The sequence below is a fragment of the Homo sapiens genome, chromosome 11, assembly GCF_000001405.40.
Source record: "Homo sapiens chromosome 11, GRCh38.p14 Primary Assembly".
NCBI lineage: Eukaryota > Metazoa > Chordata > Mammalia > Primates > Hominidae > Homo > Homo sapiens.
Genome location: NC_000011.10, coordinates 101,068,476 through 101,084,587, shown reverse-complemented (window position 1 = coordinate 101,084,587; position 16,112 = coordinate 101,068,476). Strand labels below are relative to the sequence as shown.

Below are 16,112 nucleotides of genomic sequence, written 5' to 3'. Positions count from 1 at the left end.
CTCCCAGGTTCAAGCAATTCTCCTGTCTCAGCCTCCGGAGTAGCTGGGATTATATGCACCTGCCACCACGGCTGGCTAATTTTTGTATTTTTAGTAGAGATGGGGTTTTACCTTGTTGGTCAGGCTGGTCTTGAACTCCTGGTCTCAGGTGATCCACCCGCCTCAGCCTCCCAAAGTTCTGGGATTACAGGTGTGAGCCACTGTGCCTGGACCCACTCTGTGACTTTTAAATGGGACATTGTATTAGTCCATTCTTGTGCTGCTATAAAGTACTACCTGAGACTGGGTAATTTATGAAGAAATGACATTTAAATGACTCATAGTTCTACAAGCTTAACAGGAAGCATAGCTAGGCAACGTCAGGAAACTTACAATCAAGGCAGAAGGTGAAGGGGAAGCAAGAATATCTTACCATGGCAGAGTAGGAGAGGTGGGTCAGGGGAGTGCCACACACTTTTAAATCATTATATCTTGGGAGAACCCACTCACTATCATGACAACAGCATGGGGGAAATTTGCCTCCATGATCCAATAACCTCCTACCAGGTTCCTCCCTCAACATTGGGAATTACAATTCAACGTGAGATTTGGATGGGGATACAGAGCCAAACCATATCATTCTGCCCCTGGCCCCTCCCAAAGCTTATGTCCTTCTCAGTTTTCAAAACACAATCATGCCTTCCCAACAGTCCCCCAAAGTCTTAACTCATTCCAGCATTAACCCAAAAGTCCAAGACCAAAGTCTCGTCTGAGACAAGGCAAGTCCCTTCCACCTATGATCTTGTAATATCAAAAACAAGTTAGTTACTTCCAAGATACAATAGGGGTATGGGCATTGGGTAAATACTCCCATTTTAAATGGGAGTAACTGGCCAAAACAAAGGAGATACAGGCCCCAAGCAAGTTCAAAACCCAGCAGGGCAGTCATTAAATATTAAAGCTCCAAAATAATCTCTTTTGTCTCCATGCCTCACATCCAGAGCATACTGATGCAAGGGATGGGCTCCCAAGGCCTTCAGCAGCTCCACCCTGTGGCTCTACAGGATACAGCCCCCACAGCTGCTTTTACAGGCTGGCATTGAATGCCTGCAGGTATTCCAGGCACACAATGCAAGCTGTTGATGGATCTACGATTCTGAGGTCTGGTTGATGGTGGTCCTCTTCTCACAGCTCCACTAGGCAGTGCCCCAGTGGGAACTCTGTGCAGGGGCTCCAACCCCACATTTCCCTTTCACACTGTCCTAGTAGAGGTTCTCCATGAGGTCTCTGCGCTTGAAGCAGACTTCTGCCTGGACATCCAGGCATTTCCATACATCCTCTGAAATCTAGGTGGAGGTTTCCAAACCTCAACTCTTGCCTTCTTCATACCCGCAGGCCCAATACCATGTGGAAGCCACCAGGGCTTTGGGTTTGCATCCTCTGAAGCCCTGGCCCAAGCTGTACCTTGGCCCCTTTTAGCAACAGCTGGAGCTGGAGCAGCTGGAATGCAGGGCACCATGTCCCAAGGCTGCACAGAGTAGCTAGGCCCTGGGCCTGGCCCTCAAAACCATTAATCCCTCTTAGGCTTCTGTGCCTGTGATGGGAGGGGCTGCTGTGAAGGTCTCTGAAATGCCCTGGAGACATTTTCCCCATTGTCTTGACTGTTAACATTTGACTCCTCTTTACTAATGCAAATTTCTGCAGCAGGCTTGAATTGCTCCCCAGGAAATGTTTTTTTGTCTCTCTCTTTTCTACCACATGGCCAGGCTACAAATATTCCAATATATTTTTTGCTTTGCTTCACTTTTAAATGTAAGTTCCAGGTTCAGATAATCTCTTTTTTCATGCATATGAGCATACATGTTTAGAAACAGCCAGGTCACATACATCTGGAATGCTTTGTTGCTTAGAAATTTTTTCCACCAGATACCCCAAATCATCTCTCTCAAGTTCAAAGCTTCACAGATCTCTAGGACAGGGGCAAAATGCCACCAGTCTTTTTGCTAAAGCATAGCAAGAGTGACCTTTACTCCAGTTCCCAATAAGTTCCTCACTCCATCTGAGACCACCTAAGCCTAGACTCATTGTCCATGTCACTATCAGCATTTTGGTCACAACCATTCAACAAGTCTCCAGGAAGTTCCAAACATTCCCATATCTTTCTGTCTTCTGAGCCCTGCAAACTGTTCCAACCTCTGCCCATTACTCAGTTCCAAAGTCACTCCCACATTTTCAGGTATCTTCTTAACTGTGCTCCACTCTCCCAGTACCAATTTTCTGTATTAGCTCATTCTCATACTGTTATAAAGAACTACCTGAGACTGGGTAATTTATGAAGAAAAGAACTTTAACTGACTCACAGTTCTGCAGGCTTAACAGGAAGCATAGCTAGGAGGTCTCAGGAAACTTACAATCATGGTGGAAGGCAAATGGGAAGCAAGCACGTCTTACCAGGGCAGAGCAGCAGAGAGAGAGAGAGAGAGTGAGAGGGGAAGTGCCACCACTTTTAAACCATCATATCTCCTGAGAGCTCACTCATTATCACAACAACAGTATGGGGGAAATGTGCCCCCATGATCCAATCACCTCCCATCAGGTCCCTCCCCAAACATTAAGAATTAAAATTCAACGTGAGATTTGGGTGAGGACACAGAACCAAACCATATCAGGCATTTAGACCATTTACGTTCAAGGTTAATTTTTATATGTGAGGTTTTGATCCCTTGTTTAGTTGTTAGCTGTTTGCTTTGTTGTTTCTATTGTGTTTTTGCTTTGTAGGGTGTGCAGGCTATGTGCTTAAGTGTGTTTATGTGGAAGCAGGTATGGTTCTTTTGCTTCCATGTTTAGAACTCCCATGTAAGGATCTCTTGTAAGGATGGTCTAGTGGTAACAAATTCCTTTAGCACTTGATTGCCTGGAAAAGATTTTATTTGTCCTGCACTTATGAAGCATAGTTTGGCAGGATGTGAAATTCTTGGTTGAAATTTCTTTTAAGAACGCTGAAAACAGGCCCCCAATCTCTCCTAGCTTGCAAACCTCTGCTGAGAAATCTGTTATTATCCTGATAGAGTTCCCTTTTTATGTGATCTGCACTTTTCTCTGGCTGCCTTTAAGATTTTTTCTGTAATATTGCCTTTGAACATTCTGGTGACTATATACCTTGGTGATTTTTTTTTTTTTGAGATGGAGCCTTACTGTGTCACACAGGCTGGAGTGCAGTGGTGAGATCTTGGCTCACTGCAACCTCCGCCCTCCAAGTTCCATGGATTCTCCTGCCTCAACCTCCCGAGTAGCTGGGATTACAGGTGCCTGCCACCGTGTCTGGCTAATTTTTTGTATTTTTAGTAGAGTCAGGGTTTCACCGTCTTGGCCAGGCTGGTCTTGAACTCCTCACCTCATGATCCACCTGCCTCAGCCTCCCAAAGTGCTGGGATTACAGACATGAGTCACCACGCCCAGCCAGTGATGTTCATGTTTGTGGTGTCTCACAGATGTTCTCTGGATTTCTAGCTCTCTAGCAAGATTAGGAAAGTTTTCTTGAATTATTCCCTCAACTATATTTTCCAGTTTGTTTTCTTTTTCTCCTACTTTCTGAGGAATGCCAATAATTCATAGGGTTTTTTTGCTTTATATAATCTTATATTTCTCAAAAACAGCTCATTTAAAATAATTTTTTTCTTTATTTTTATCAGATTGGGTTAGTTCACAAGACCAGCCTTCAAGCTTTAAAATTTTTTCTTCTGCTTGATCCAGTCTATTGATAACGAATTTCAAAATATAATTGAAGGCTTTAAGTGAGTTTTTCAATTCCAGAAGCTACTATTGATTTTTTTTAAGATGTTCATGTCTTTCTTAATTTCCTAGATTGCTTTAGAAGTTTATGTTGGTTTTCAACCTTGTCTTTGATTACAATGAACTTCCTTGCAATCCATGCTTTGAATTATTTATGTGTCATTTCTGAGTTTCCATCTTGGTTAGGGACCATTGCTGGAAAGCTAGTGCAATCCCTTAGTGATGTCACTGCAATCAGATTTTTCATTATGCCAGAATTCTTGCACTGGTTTCTTCTCATCTGGAGACATTGGCACTTCAAATTTTTGTACTTATTTTCATGTGGGTAGTAGTTTTTCTTTTTTTTTTCTTTCCCTATAATGGTATTATTATTATTATTTTAATAATTTTTTTTGTTTCCCTTTTACCCCTTTTCTAGGGCTTGTGCCTCTAAAGAATGCTGGGTAGGATCTTTTCACTTTGATTCTACAGCCCTATGTGCTTCTTTCAGCAGGTTTTATACTGGGCTCTGCAGGTCATCCCACAGGCCCATAGGCGGCACGTATAGGTAAGAGCTGGCTGTGACCAATGTGGCTGGATATATACTTGATCCTTGTTTCCGAGCAAAAGCTCTCCATTGTCTTAGGCAATAGGCTGATTCTGATTCATAGAATGCACAGTAGTTGGAACTCCCTGCTCAGCCCCAAGGAGAAGGGAACCACAAAGGGCAAGTTTGGACCGAGCAGGTCCACCTGCGTCCCCTGATGGCAAGCACAAGCACCAGTGCCAAGGAAGAATCCAGTGGGTGGCCACCAAGCACCCAGAGTTGTACACAGACCTGAAGCTTGGAAACCTCCTCAGCTGCAAATTCTCTGCATGGGAGGCATCCTAAGCTCCTGATTCAGGAGAGTGGGTGCTCCAGATGCCTGGAGATCTGCTTTGGCATGGAATAGAGAGGGGCCCCCTGCACCAAGATCTCTACACAGGAGGGGTAAATGACAATTATATATAGTGCTGCAGGAAACATGTGAATGCAGATAATATCTTCAATATACCAGTTTTCTTTCTTTTGGCTATATGCCCAACAGTAGGATTGCTGCATCACGTGGTAGTTCTGTTTTTAGTTTTAGGAACCTCCATACTGTTTTCCATAGTTACAGTACTAATTTAGATTACTACCAACAGTGTACGAGAATTTCTCTTTCTCCATATCCTCACCAGCATTTATTTTTTGTCTTTTTAGTAACAGCCATTTTAACTGGAGTGAGATAATATCTTATTGTGGTTTTATTTGCATTTCCCTGATGATTAGTGATGTTGAGCATTTTTTCATATATCTGTTGGCATTTGTATGTCTTCTTTCAAGAAATTTCTGTTCATTTTGCCTATTTTTAAATGGGATTACTTTTTTTTTTTGCTATTGAGCTGAGTTCCTTATATATTCTGATAATTAACTCCTTGTCAGATGAATAGTTTTCAAATATTTTCTCTCATTCTTTGTCTCTTCACATTGTTAACTATTTCCTTTGCTGTGCGGAAGCTTTTTAGCTTGATGAAATTCCATTTGTCAATTTTTGCCTTGATTGCCTATGCCTTGAGGTCTTACTACAAAAATATTTACCCAAAAGTCTTAAAGCAGTTCCCCAAAGTTTTCTTGTAGTAGTTTTGTAGTTTCAGATCTTACACTTAAGTCTTTAATCGATTTTGATTTTATTTTCGTATGTGGTGAGTGATAGTGATCTAGTTCTGTTTTCTGCATATAGGTAGCCAGTTTTCCCAGCAGCATTTATTGAAGAGATTGCCCTTTCCCCAATGTATATCCATGGCACCTTTGTCAAAAATGAGTTGACTGTTAATGCATGGCTTTATTTCTGGGTTCTCTATTCTGTTCCATTGGTCTTTGTGTCTGTTTTTATACCAATATCATGCTGTTATGGTTAAGAATTCTCATTTCTGACATAGAGACCATTTAAATAACAAAAGATAAAACATGAGAGAATATTAGAAAGCTTTTAAAAGATTTAATAAAATCTTACAGTAGAATAATAGAGGTAATAAATATGTTTTGACATGTCATGACATAGATTTTGTTAGGAGCAGTTTGTTCTTATCTGCTTCCGTGGCTATGTTTTGATTATAAAAATTATGTTTTGAGTTATTTGATTTCTTCGTTGCATATGATTCTTGTCTTTAATGAATCACTTCCCTACCTTGAACAGGTCACAGTGAACTTTTGCTTTAGTTCACTGCTGTACAGCACTGAGTGGGAAGATAGTTACACCCTTAAGGATGATAATATATCTTCTACTTTAGGTGTTCTGCTTCCATCTTCTTTCTTCTAGAAAACATTTTTGTTTAATGACTCACAAAAAAATATCTGAAATGAATACAGCTTTATATTTTGCAGTTGTAAAAATGCTAAACTAGTATAAGGTAATTAGCTCTTTCAAAAATAAGTCGCTTTCTACATAAAAGAATGATTAAATGAATAGTTATCTTCTTTGAAATTTTTTAAATCCACAGTTACAGGTTTTATGGGTTTTTCTTTTTTTCTATTATTTTCTTTTTTGGTAGCAAGCCTTATCTTCACATTTTAAAAGGTTGTGTTAGAAAGCCAGTTTCTCTCCTTCTCCCCCTACCTCCTCCTCCACCTAGATTCAACCACTTCTTATGGCAAAGAGAATAACTTTCTGGGCTAGAGAGTATGGGTTGTGTAGTAAAGATTTTTGTTGTTTTTTTGTTTTCTCCTCCTACACTTGACAGCCAACAAGGCTACAAGTCTTCTTTGGAAGAACTGCAAAATTCTTGAATTTAGGACACAGTGGTATCTTTTCTAGAAGTACAGAGTCCTGCTCTGTGCCTTTAATACCCTAAGAACAAAAATCATTTTTCCTCTTTAAGGCAAGATCTACTGTGGGTGATGGCTACCACCTACCTCTCTAGACCTCACAGAATCTTCTTCTTAATGGGCATCTCTTTTTCCACCCAAATCCTGGCCTTTGAATCAGCATCTCTCAGAGACAGCACCTCTCACATTGCTCCCCAAGTTCACTGCATTGGAGCCTGCAGCCAACTGATGTCCTTCTCATCAGTCTGGTTGTTTACCCTAAACACCATCTCACACATGCTAGCTGGGGATGGTCCTCAGACTATTCATTCTCATTTCTTTGCTTAAAATTTTTCTGTGTTTGTATGGGATGTCTTTTATGGTTTGCCAACTAGAACTTTTCAGTAGTATCTACAAGCATTTATTATTTTCTAGACTCAGTAAAAAGTTAGAATTGAGGGGTTCAAATATCTCCTCCATTGTAGTTGACTTTATTTGAATGATTAAGACATATACATTTAAAAAAATCAATTCTAGTATAGTTTTGGTTTTTGGAAAATACCTGATTTCACTTTATATTTCCTGTTGTCTAGCATCTTTGTTTTCTTTGAAGTATATACAAAGGCACACTGTGTTTTGATCTGGAAATTGGAGGTGAATCCTGAAAAATGGAAGGCAAGCACTATCAGTGCTATAAAGGATTGTTAAAGTGTAGTGCCAGTGGACTGATCCCAGCACTGCGCAGTGGTCATTATCATTTTGGTAATCTGAAGTAGAAGCATGCCTCTAGACATCCTTCCATAATTTTATATAGGTAGTGTAAGGATGACTGTCTATAAATTCACCTGAACTACAGAGAGACTTCTGATATAATAAAAGAAAAATACAGAGATTGTTCAGGATGGGAATACAAACACTAGGAAACTGGAAAAGCAAATTAAAACTTCTGAATTAATAGAAAAAGTTAAATAGGAAAGAGAAAATAAAGGGAAACTTGACCAAGGTAGCAAAGAAAGAAAATGGAAAAGAGGTAATTATGAGGCAGTATAAAACAAACTCTGTCGCAAAAAAAAAAAAAAAAAAAAAAAAAATTCCATTTGTAGTTTTAAAAAAATAGTAAAGATATAGAAAAATTAGTAGAAAATACAAAAATCTGTATTCTTCTTTTATCAGAATTAAATAATTATGCCTGCCCTATTTTACCAAATTATTTTATTAAAACATGCTAAAGAAGTTTATAAGCTTTTCTTCTCCCTGCTCCCATTCTCTATAGGATTTTTGCTGAGATATTTCAAAATTTTTATTTTTAGGTTATATTTAAGCTTTCACTTCTAATCTCTCTCAAAAACCTTTCATATCACTTGTCATAAAAATTTCTTCTCATAGTATCATCATCCAGATTCAGTCACATATACATCAAGAATAATTGTGCAATACTGTTTCCTAGACTCTTCATCTTATCTTTTCAATGCATGATATTTAAATAAGCCATACTTTTTAATGTTTTCAATTTTTTAATTTATATTTATTTATTTCAAATTTTTTATTATATTTTAAGTTCTGGGATACACGTGCAGAACGTGAAGGTTTGTTACATAGGTATACACGTGCCATGATGTTTTGCTGCACCCATCAACCCATCATCTACATTAGGTATTTCTTCTAATGTTATCCCTCCCTTAGCCCCCCACCCCCCGACAGATCCCTGTGTGTGACATTCCCCTCCCTGTGTCCATGTGTTCTCATTGTTCACCTCCCACTTATGAGAGAACATGCAGTGTTTGGTTTTCTGTTCTTGTGTTAGTTTGCTCTGAATGATGGTTTCCAGCTTCATCCATGTCCCTGCAAAGGACATGAACTCATCCCTTTTGATAGCTCAATGTTATTGCATGGTGTATATGTGCCACATTTTCTTTATCCAGTCTATCATTGATGGGCATTTGGGTTGGCTCCAAATCTTTACTATTGTGAATAGTGCTGCAGTAAACATACGTGTGCATGTGTCTTTATGGTACAATGATTTATAATCCTTTGGGTACATACCCAGTAACGGGATTGCTGGGTCAAATGGTATTTCTGGTTCTAGATCCTTGAGGAATCACCACACTGTCTTCTACAATGGTTGAACTAATTTACACTGCCACCAACAGCGTAAAAGCTTTCCTATTTCTCCACATCTTTTCCGGCATCTATTGTTTCCTGAGTTTTTAATGGTCATCATTCTAACTGGCATGAAATGGCATCTCATTGTGGTATTGATTTGCATTTCGACCAGTGATGATGAGCTTTTTTTTCATGTTTATTGCCCACATAAATGTCTTCTTTTGAGAAGTGTCTGTTCATATCCTTTGCCCACTTTTTGATGGGGTTGTTTTTTGTTTTTTTTTTTGTAAATTTGTTTAAATTCTTTGTAGCTTCTTGATAGTAGTCCTTTGTTAGATGGATAAATTGCAGAAATTTTCTCCCATTCTGTAGGTTGCCTGTTCACTCTGATGATAGTTTCTTTTGCTGTGCAGAAGGTCTTTAGTTTAATTAGATCCCATTTGTCAATTTTGTCTTTTGTTGCCATTGCTTTTGGTGTTTTAGTCATGAAGTCTTTGCCCATGCCTATGTCCTGAATGATATTGCCCAGGTTTTCCTCTAGGGTTTTTATGGTTTTCAGTCTTACATTTAAGTCTTTGATCTATCTTGAGTTAATTTTTGTATAAGGTGTAAGGAAGGGGTCCACTTTCAATTTTCTGTATATGGCTAGCCAGTTTCCCCAACACCATTTATTAAATAGGGAATCCTTTCCCCATTGCTTTTTTGGTCAGATTTGTCAAAGATCAGATGGTAGATGTGTGGCATTATTTCTGAGGCCTCTGTTCTGCTTCATTGGTCTATATATCTGTTTTGGTACCAGTACCATGCTGTTTTGGCTACTGTAGCCTTGTAGTATAGTTTGAAGTCAGCTAGCCTGATGCCTCCAGCTTTGTTCTTTTTGCTTAGGATTGTCTTGGTTATATGGGCTCTTTTTTGGTTCCATAGGAAATTTAAAGTAGTTTTTTCTAATTCTATGAAGAAAGTCAATGTTAGCTTGTTGGGGATAGCATTGAATCTATAAATTACTTTGGTCAGTATGGCCATTTTCATGATATTGATTCTTCTGATCCATGAGCATAGAGTGTTTTTCCATTTGTGTCCTCTCTGATTTCCTTGAGCGTTGATTTGTAGTTCTCCTTGAAGGGGTCCTTCACATTTCTCGTGACTTGTATTCCTAGCTATTTTACTCCTTTTGTAGCAATTGTGAATGGGAGTTCAGTCATGTTTGGGCTCTCTGTTTGTCTATTATTGGTGTATAGGAATGCCTGTGATTTTTGCACATTTATTTTGTATCCTGAGACTTCACTGAAGTTGCTTATCAGCTTAAGGAGATTTTGGGCTGAGATGATGGAGTTTTCTAAATATACAATCATGTCCTCTACAAAAAGACACAGTTTGACTTCCTCTCTTCCTATTTGAATACGCTTTATTTCTTTCTCTTGCCTGATTGCCCTGGCCAGAACTTCCACTACTATGTTTAATAGCAGTGGTGGGAAAGGACATCCCTGTCTTGTGCTGGTTTTCAAAGGGAATGCTTTCAGCTTTTGCCTATTCATTATGATATTCGCTGTGGGTTTGCCATAAATAGCTCTTATTATTTTGAGATACGGTCCATCAATACCTAGCTTATTGAGAGTTTTTAGCATGAAGGGGTGTTGAATTTTGTTAAAGGCCTTTTCTGCATCTATTGAGATAATCATGTGGTTTTTGTCATTGGTTCTGTTTATGTGATGGATTACGTTTATTAATGTGCGTATGTTGATCCAGGCTTTCATCTCAGGGATGAAACTGACCTGATCATGGTGGATAAGCTTTTTGATGTGCTGCTGGATTTGGATTGCCAGTATTTTATTGAGGATTTTTGCATCAATATTCATCAGGGATATTGGCCTGAAATTTTCTTTTTTGTTGTTTCTCTGCCGGGTTTTGGTGTCAGGATGATACCAAATAAAATGAGTTAGGGAGGATTCCCTCTTTTTCTATTGTTTGGAATAGTTTTAGAAAGAATGGTGCCAGCTCCTCCTTGTATCTCTGGTAGAATTCAGCTATGAATCTGTCTGGTCCTGGGGTTTTTTTGGTTGGTAGGCTATTAATTACTGCCTCAATTTCAGAACTTGTTATTGGTCTATTCAGGAATTCAACTTCTTCCTGGTTTCATCTTGGGAGGGTGTATGTGTCCAGGAATGTATGCATTTCTTCTAGATTTTCTAGTTTATTTTCATAGAGGTGTTTATAGTATTCTCTGATGGTAGTTTGTATTTCTGTGGGATCACTGGTGATATCCCCTTTATCATTTTTTATTGTGTCTACTTGATTCTTCTCTCCCTTCTTTATTAGTCTGGCTAGTGGTCTATCTACTTTGTTAATCTTTTCAAAAAACCAGCTCCTGGATTCATTGATTTTTTTTTTTTAAGGGTTTTTCATGTCTCTATCTCCTTCGGTTCTGCTCTGGTCTTAGTTATTTCTTGTCCTCTGCTAGCTTTTGAATTTGTTTGCTCTTGCTTCGCTAGTTCTTTTAATTGTGATATTAGCGTGTCAATTTTAGATCATTCCCACTTTCTCCTGTGGACATTTAGTGCTATAAATTTCCCTCTAAACAAACACTGCTTTAGCTGTGTCCCAGAGATTCTGGTATGTTGTGTCTTTGTTCTCATTGGTTTCAAATAACTTATTTATTTCTGCCTTAATTTCATTATTTATGCAGTAATCATTCAGGAGCAGGTTGTTCAGTTTCCATGTAGTTGTGCAGTTTTGAGTGAGTTTCTTAATCCTGAGTTCTAATTTGATTGCACTGTGGTCTGAGAAACTGTTTGTTATTATTTCCATTCTTTCACATTTGCTGAGGAGTGTTTTACTTCCAATTATGTGGTCAATTTTAGAATAAGTGCAATGTGGTGCTGAGAAGAAGGTATATTCTGTTGATTTGGGGTAGAGAGTTCTGTAGATGTCTCTTAGGTCCACTTGGTCCAGAGCCTGAGTTCAAGTCCTGGATATCCTTATTAATTTTCTGTCTTGTTGATCTGTCTAATATTGACAGTAGGGTGTTAAAAGTCTCCCCCATTAATGTGTGGGTGTCTAAGTCTCTTCATAGGCCTCTAAGAACTTGCTTTATGAATCTGAATGCTCCTGTATTGAGTACGTATTTTTAGGATAGTCAGCTCTTCTTGTTGCATTGATCCCTTTACCATTATGTAATGGCCTTCTTTGTCTTTTGATCTTTGTTGGTTTAAAGTCTGTTTTATCAGAGACTAGGATTGCAACCCCTGCCTTTTTTAGCTTTCCATTTGCTTGGTAAATATTCCTCCATCCCTTTATTTTGAGCATATTGTGTCTCTGCCTGTGAGATGGGTCTCCTGAATATAGCACACCAATGGGTCTTGACTCTTTATCCAGTTTGCTGGTCTGTGTCTTTTAATTGGGGCATTTAGCCCATTTACATTTAAGGGTAATAGTATTATGTGTGAATTTGATCCTGTCATTATGATGCTAGCTGGTTATTTTGCCCATTAGTTGATGCAGTTTCTTCCTAGCATCGATGGTCTTTACAATTTGGCATGTTTTTGCAGTGGCTGGTACCGGTTGTTCCTTTCCATGTTTAGTGCTTCCTTCAGGAGCTCTTGTAAGGCAGGCCTCGTGGTGACAAAATCTCTCAGCTTTTGCTTGTCTGTAAAGGAGTTTATTTCTCCTTTGCTTATGAAGCTTAGTTTGGCTGGATATGAAATTCTGGGTTGAAAATTCTTTTCTTTAGAAATGTTGAATATTGGCCTCCACTCTCTTCTGGCATGTAGGGTTTCAGCAGAGAGATCTGCTGTTAGTCTGATGGGCTTCCCTTTGTGGGTAACCCGACTTTCTCTTTGGCTGCCCTTAACGTTTTTTCCTTCATTTCAATCTTGGTGAATCTGACAGTTATGTGTCTTGGGGTTGCTCTTCTCGAGGAGTATCTTTGTGGTGTTCTCTGTATTTCCTGAATTTGAATGTTGGCCTGTCTTGCTAGGTTGGGGAAGTTCTCCTGGATACTATCCCGAAGAGTGTTTTCCAACTTGGTTCCATTCTCCCCGTCACTTTCAGGTACACCAATCAAACGTAAGTTTGGTCTTTTCACATAGTCCCATATTTCTTGGAGGCTTTGTTTGTTCCTTTTCATTCTTTATTCTCTAATCTTGTATTCATGCTTTATTTCATTCAGTTGATCTTCAATCTCTGATATCCTTTCTTCTGCTTGATAAATTTGGCTGCTGATATTTGTGTATGCTTCACACAGTTCTTGTGCTGTGTTTTTCAGCTCCATCAGGTCATTTATGTTCTTCTCTAAAATGGTTATTCTAGGTAGCAATTCCTCTAACCTTTTTTCAAGGTTCTTAGCTTCCTTGCATTGGGTTAGAACATGCTCCATTAACTCAGAGGAGTTTGTCATTACCCGCCTCCTGAAGCCTACTTCTGTCAATTTGTCAAACTCATTCTCCGTCCAGTTTTATTCCCTTGCTGGTGAGGAGTTGTGATCTTTTGGAGGAGAAGAGGCATTCTGATTTTTGGAATTTTCAGCCTTTTTGCACTGGTTTTTCCTCATCTTCATGGATTTATCTACCTTTGGTCTTTGATGTTGGTGACCTTCAGATGGGGTTTTTGTGTGGACATCCTTTTTGTTGATGTTGATGCTATTCCTTTCTGTTTGTTAGTTTTCCTTCTAACAGTCAGGCCCCTCTGCTGCAGGTCTGCTGGAGTTTGCTGGAGGTCCACTCCAGACCCTGTTTGCCTGGGTATCACTAGCGGACTCTGCAGTACAGCAAAGATTGCTGCCTGTTCCTTCCTCTGGAATCTTCATCCCAGCAGGGCACCCACCAGATTGCCAGCCAGAGCTCTCCTGTGTGAGGTGTCTGTCGACCCCTGCTGGGAGGTATCTCCCAGTCAGGAGGCACAGGGGTCAGGGACCCACTTGAGGAGGCAGTTTGTCCTTTAGCAGAGCTTGAGCACTGCGCTGGGAGATCCGCTGGTCTCTTCAGAGCCAGCAGGCAGGAACGTTTAAGTCTGCTGAAGCTGCGCCCACAGCCACCCCTTCCCCCAGGTTCTCTGTCCCAGGGAGATGGGAGTTTTATGTATAAGCCCCTGACTGGGGCTGCTGCCTTTCTTTCAGAGATGCCCTGCCCAGAGAGGAGTCTAGAGAGGCAGTCTGGCTACAGCAGCTTTGCCATGCTGCAGTGGGCTCTGCCCAGTTTGAAGTTCCAGGTGGTTTTGCTTACACTGTGAGGGGAAAACTGCCTACTCAAGCCTCAGTAATGGTGGACGCCCCTCCCACCACCATGCTCCAGCGTCCCAGGTCGACTTCACACTGCTGTGCTGGCAGCGAGAATTTCAAGCCAGTGAATCTCAACTTACTGGGCTCTGTGGGGATGGTATCTGCTGAGCTAGATCACTTGGCTCCCTGGCTTCAGCCCCCCTTCCAGGGGAGTGAATGGTTCTGTCTCACTGGCATTCCAGGTGCCACTGGGGTATGAAAAAAAACTCCTGCAGCTAGTTCATTGTCTGCCCAAATGGCTGCCCAGTTTTGTGCTTGAAACCCAGGGCCCTGGTGATTTAGGCACCCAAGGGAATCTCCTGGTCTGTGGGTTGCAAAGACCATGGGGAAAGCATAGTATCTGGGCCGGAACACATTGTTCCTTACAGCACAGTCACTCACGGCTTCCCTTGGCTAAGGGAGGGAGTTTCCCCACTCTTTGTACTTCCCGGGTAAGGCAATGCCCCACCCTGCTTCAGCTCGCTCTCCATGGGCTGTAGCTACTGTCTAGCCAGTCCCAATGAGATGAGGTGGGTACCTCAGTTGAAAATGCAGAAATCACCCACCTTCTGTGTTGATCGCGTTGGGAGCTACAGACCGGAGCTATTCCTATTCAGCCATCTTGCCAGCCAGCAACCACTCTACTTTTTTTTTTTTTAATTTAAGTTCTGGGATACATGTACAGAATATGCAGGTTTGTTACATAGATATACATGTGCCATGGTGGTTTGCTGCACCCAACAATCCATCATCTACATTAGATGTTTCTACTAGTGCTATCCCTCCCCTAGCTCCCCACCCCTCAACAGGCCCTGGTGTGTGATGTTCCTCTCCCTGTGTCCATGTGTTCTCATTGTTCACCTCCCACTTATGAGAGAATATGCAGTGTTTGGTTTTCTGTTCTTGTGTTAATTTACTAAGAATGGTTTCCAGCTTCATCCATGTCCCTGCAAAAGACATGAACTCATCCCTTTTGATGGCTGCATAGTATTCCATGGTGTATATGTGCCACATTTTCTTTATCCAGTCTCTCACTGATGAGGATTTGGGTTGGCTCCAAGTCTTTGCTATTGTGAATACTGCTGCAGTAAACATACATGTGCATGTGTCTTATGGTACAATGATTTATAATCCTTTGGGTATATACCCAGTAATGGGATTACTGGGTCAAATGGCATTTCTGGTTCTAGATCTTTGAGGAATCATCACACTGTCTTCTACAGTGGTTGAACTAATTTACACTCCCACCAACAGTGTAAAAGCTTTCCTATTTCTCCACATCCTCTCCAGCATCTGTTGTTTCCTGACTTTTTAATGATCGCCATTCTAACTGGTGTGAGATGGTATCTCATTGTGGTTTTGATTTGCATTTCTCTCATGACCAGTGAAGATGAGCTTTTTTCCATGTTTTTTGGCCACATAAATGTCTTCTTTTGAGAAGTGTCTATTCATACCCTTCACCCACTTTTTGATGTTTTTTTTTTCTTGTAAATTTGTTTAAGTTCCCTGTAGACTCTGGATATTAGCCCTTTGTCAGATGGATAAATTGCAGAGATTTTCTCCCATTCTATAGGTTGCCTGTTCACTCCGATGATAGTTTCTTTTGCTGTGCAGAAGGTCTTTAGTTTAATTAGATCCCATTTGTCAATTTTGTCTTTTGTTGCCATTGCTTTTGGTGTTTTAGTCATGAAGTCTTTGCCCATGCCTATGTCCTGAATGGTATTGCCTAGGTTTTCTTCCAAGGTTTTTATGGTTTTAGGTCTTATGTTTAAGTCTTTAGTCCATCTTGAGTTAATTTTTGTATTAGGTGTAGGGAAGGGGTCCACTTTCAGTTTTCTGCATATGGCTAGCCAGTTTCCCCAACACCATTTATTAAATAGGGAATCCTTTCCCCATTGTTTTTTTTGGTCAGGTTTGTCAAAGATCAGATGGTTGTAGATTTGTGACGTTACTTCTGAGGCCTCTGTTCTGTTCTATTGTTCTATATATCTGTTTGGGTACCAGTACCATGCTGTTTTAGTTACTGTAGAGTTGAAGTATAGTTTGAAGTCAGGTAGCATGATACCTCCAGCTTTGTTCTTTTGACTTAGGATGTCTTGGCTATACAGGCTCTTTTTTGGTTCCATATGAAATTTAAAGTAATTTTTTTCTAATTTTGTGAAGAAAGTCAATGTTAGCTTG

At 40.1% G+C, this 16,112-nt stretch overlaps 1 protein-coding gene across 8 annotated transcripts in view, besides 1 other annotated feature; it reads left to right on the top strand.

The window, feature by feature from the left end:
* The window catches only part of PGR (progesterone receptor), a 100,190-nt gene that overhangs the window by 45,226 nt on the left and 38,852 nt on the right, over positions 1-16,112 (top strand). The window lies entirely within an intron of this gene.
* Positions 1,354-1,918: an enhancer, noted in NCBI's record as "OCT4-NANOG-H3K27ac hESC enhancer chr11:100953401-100953965 (GRCh37/hg19 assembly coordinates)". NCBI's record gives its function as "activates a minimal SCP1, AML or CMV promoter by ChIP-STARR-seq in primed H9 embryonic stem cells {active_cell/tissue: H9 hESC(primed)}" and the evidence as "EXISTENCE:reporter gene assay evidence [ECO:0000049][PMID:30033119]".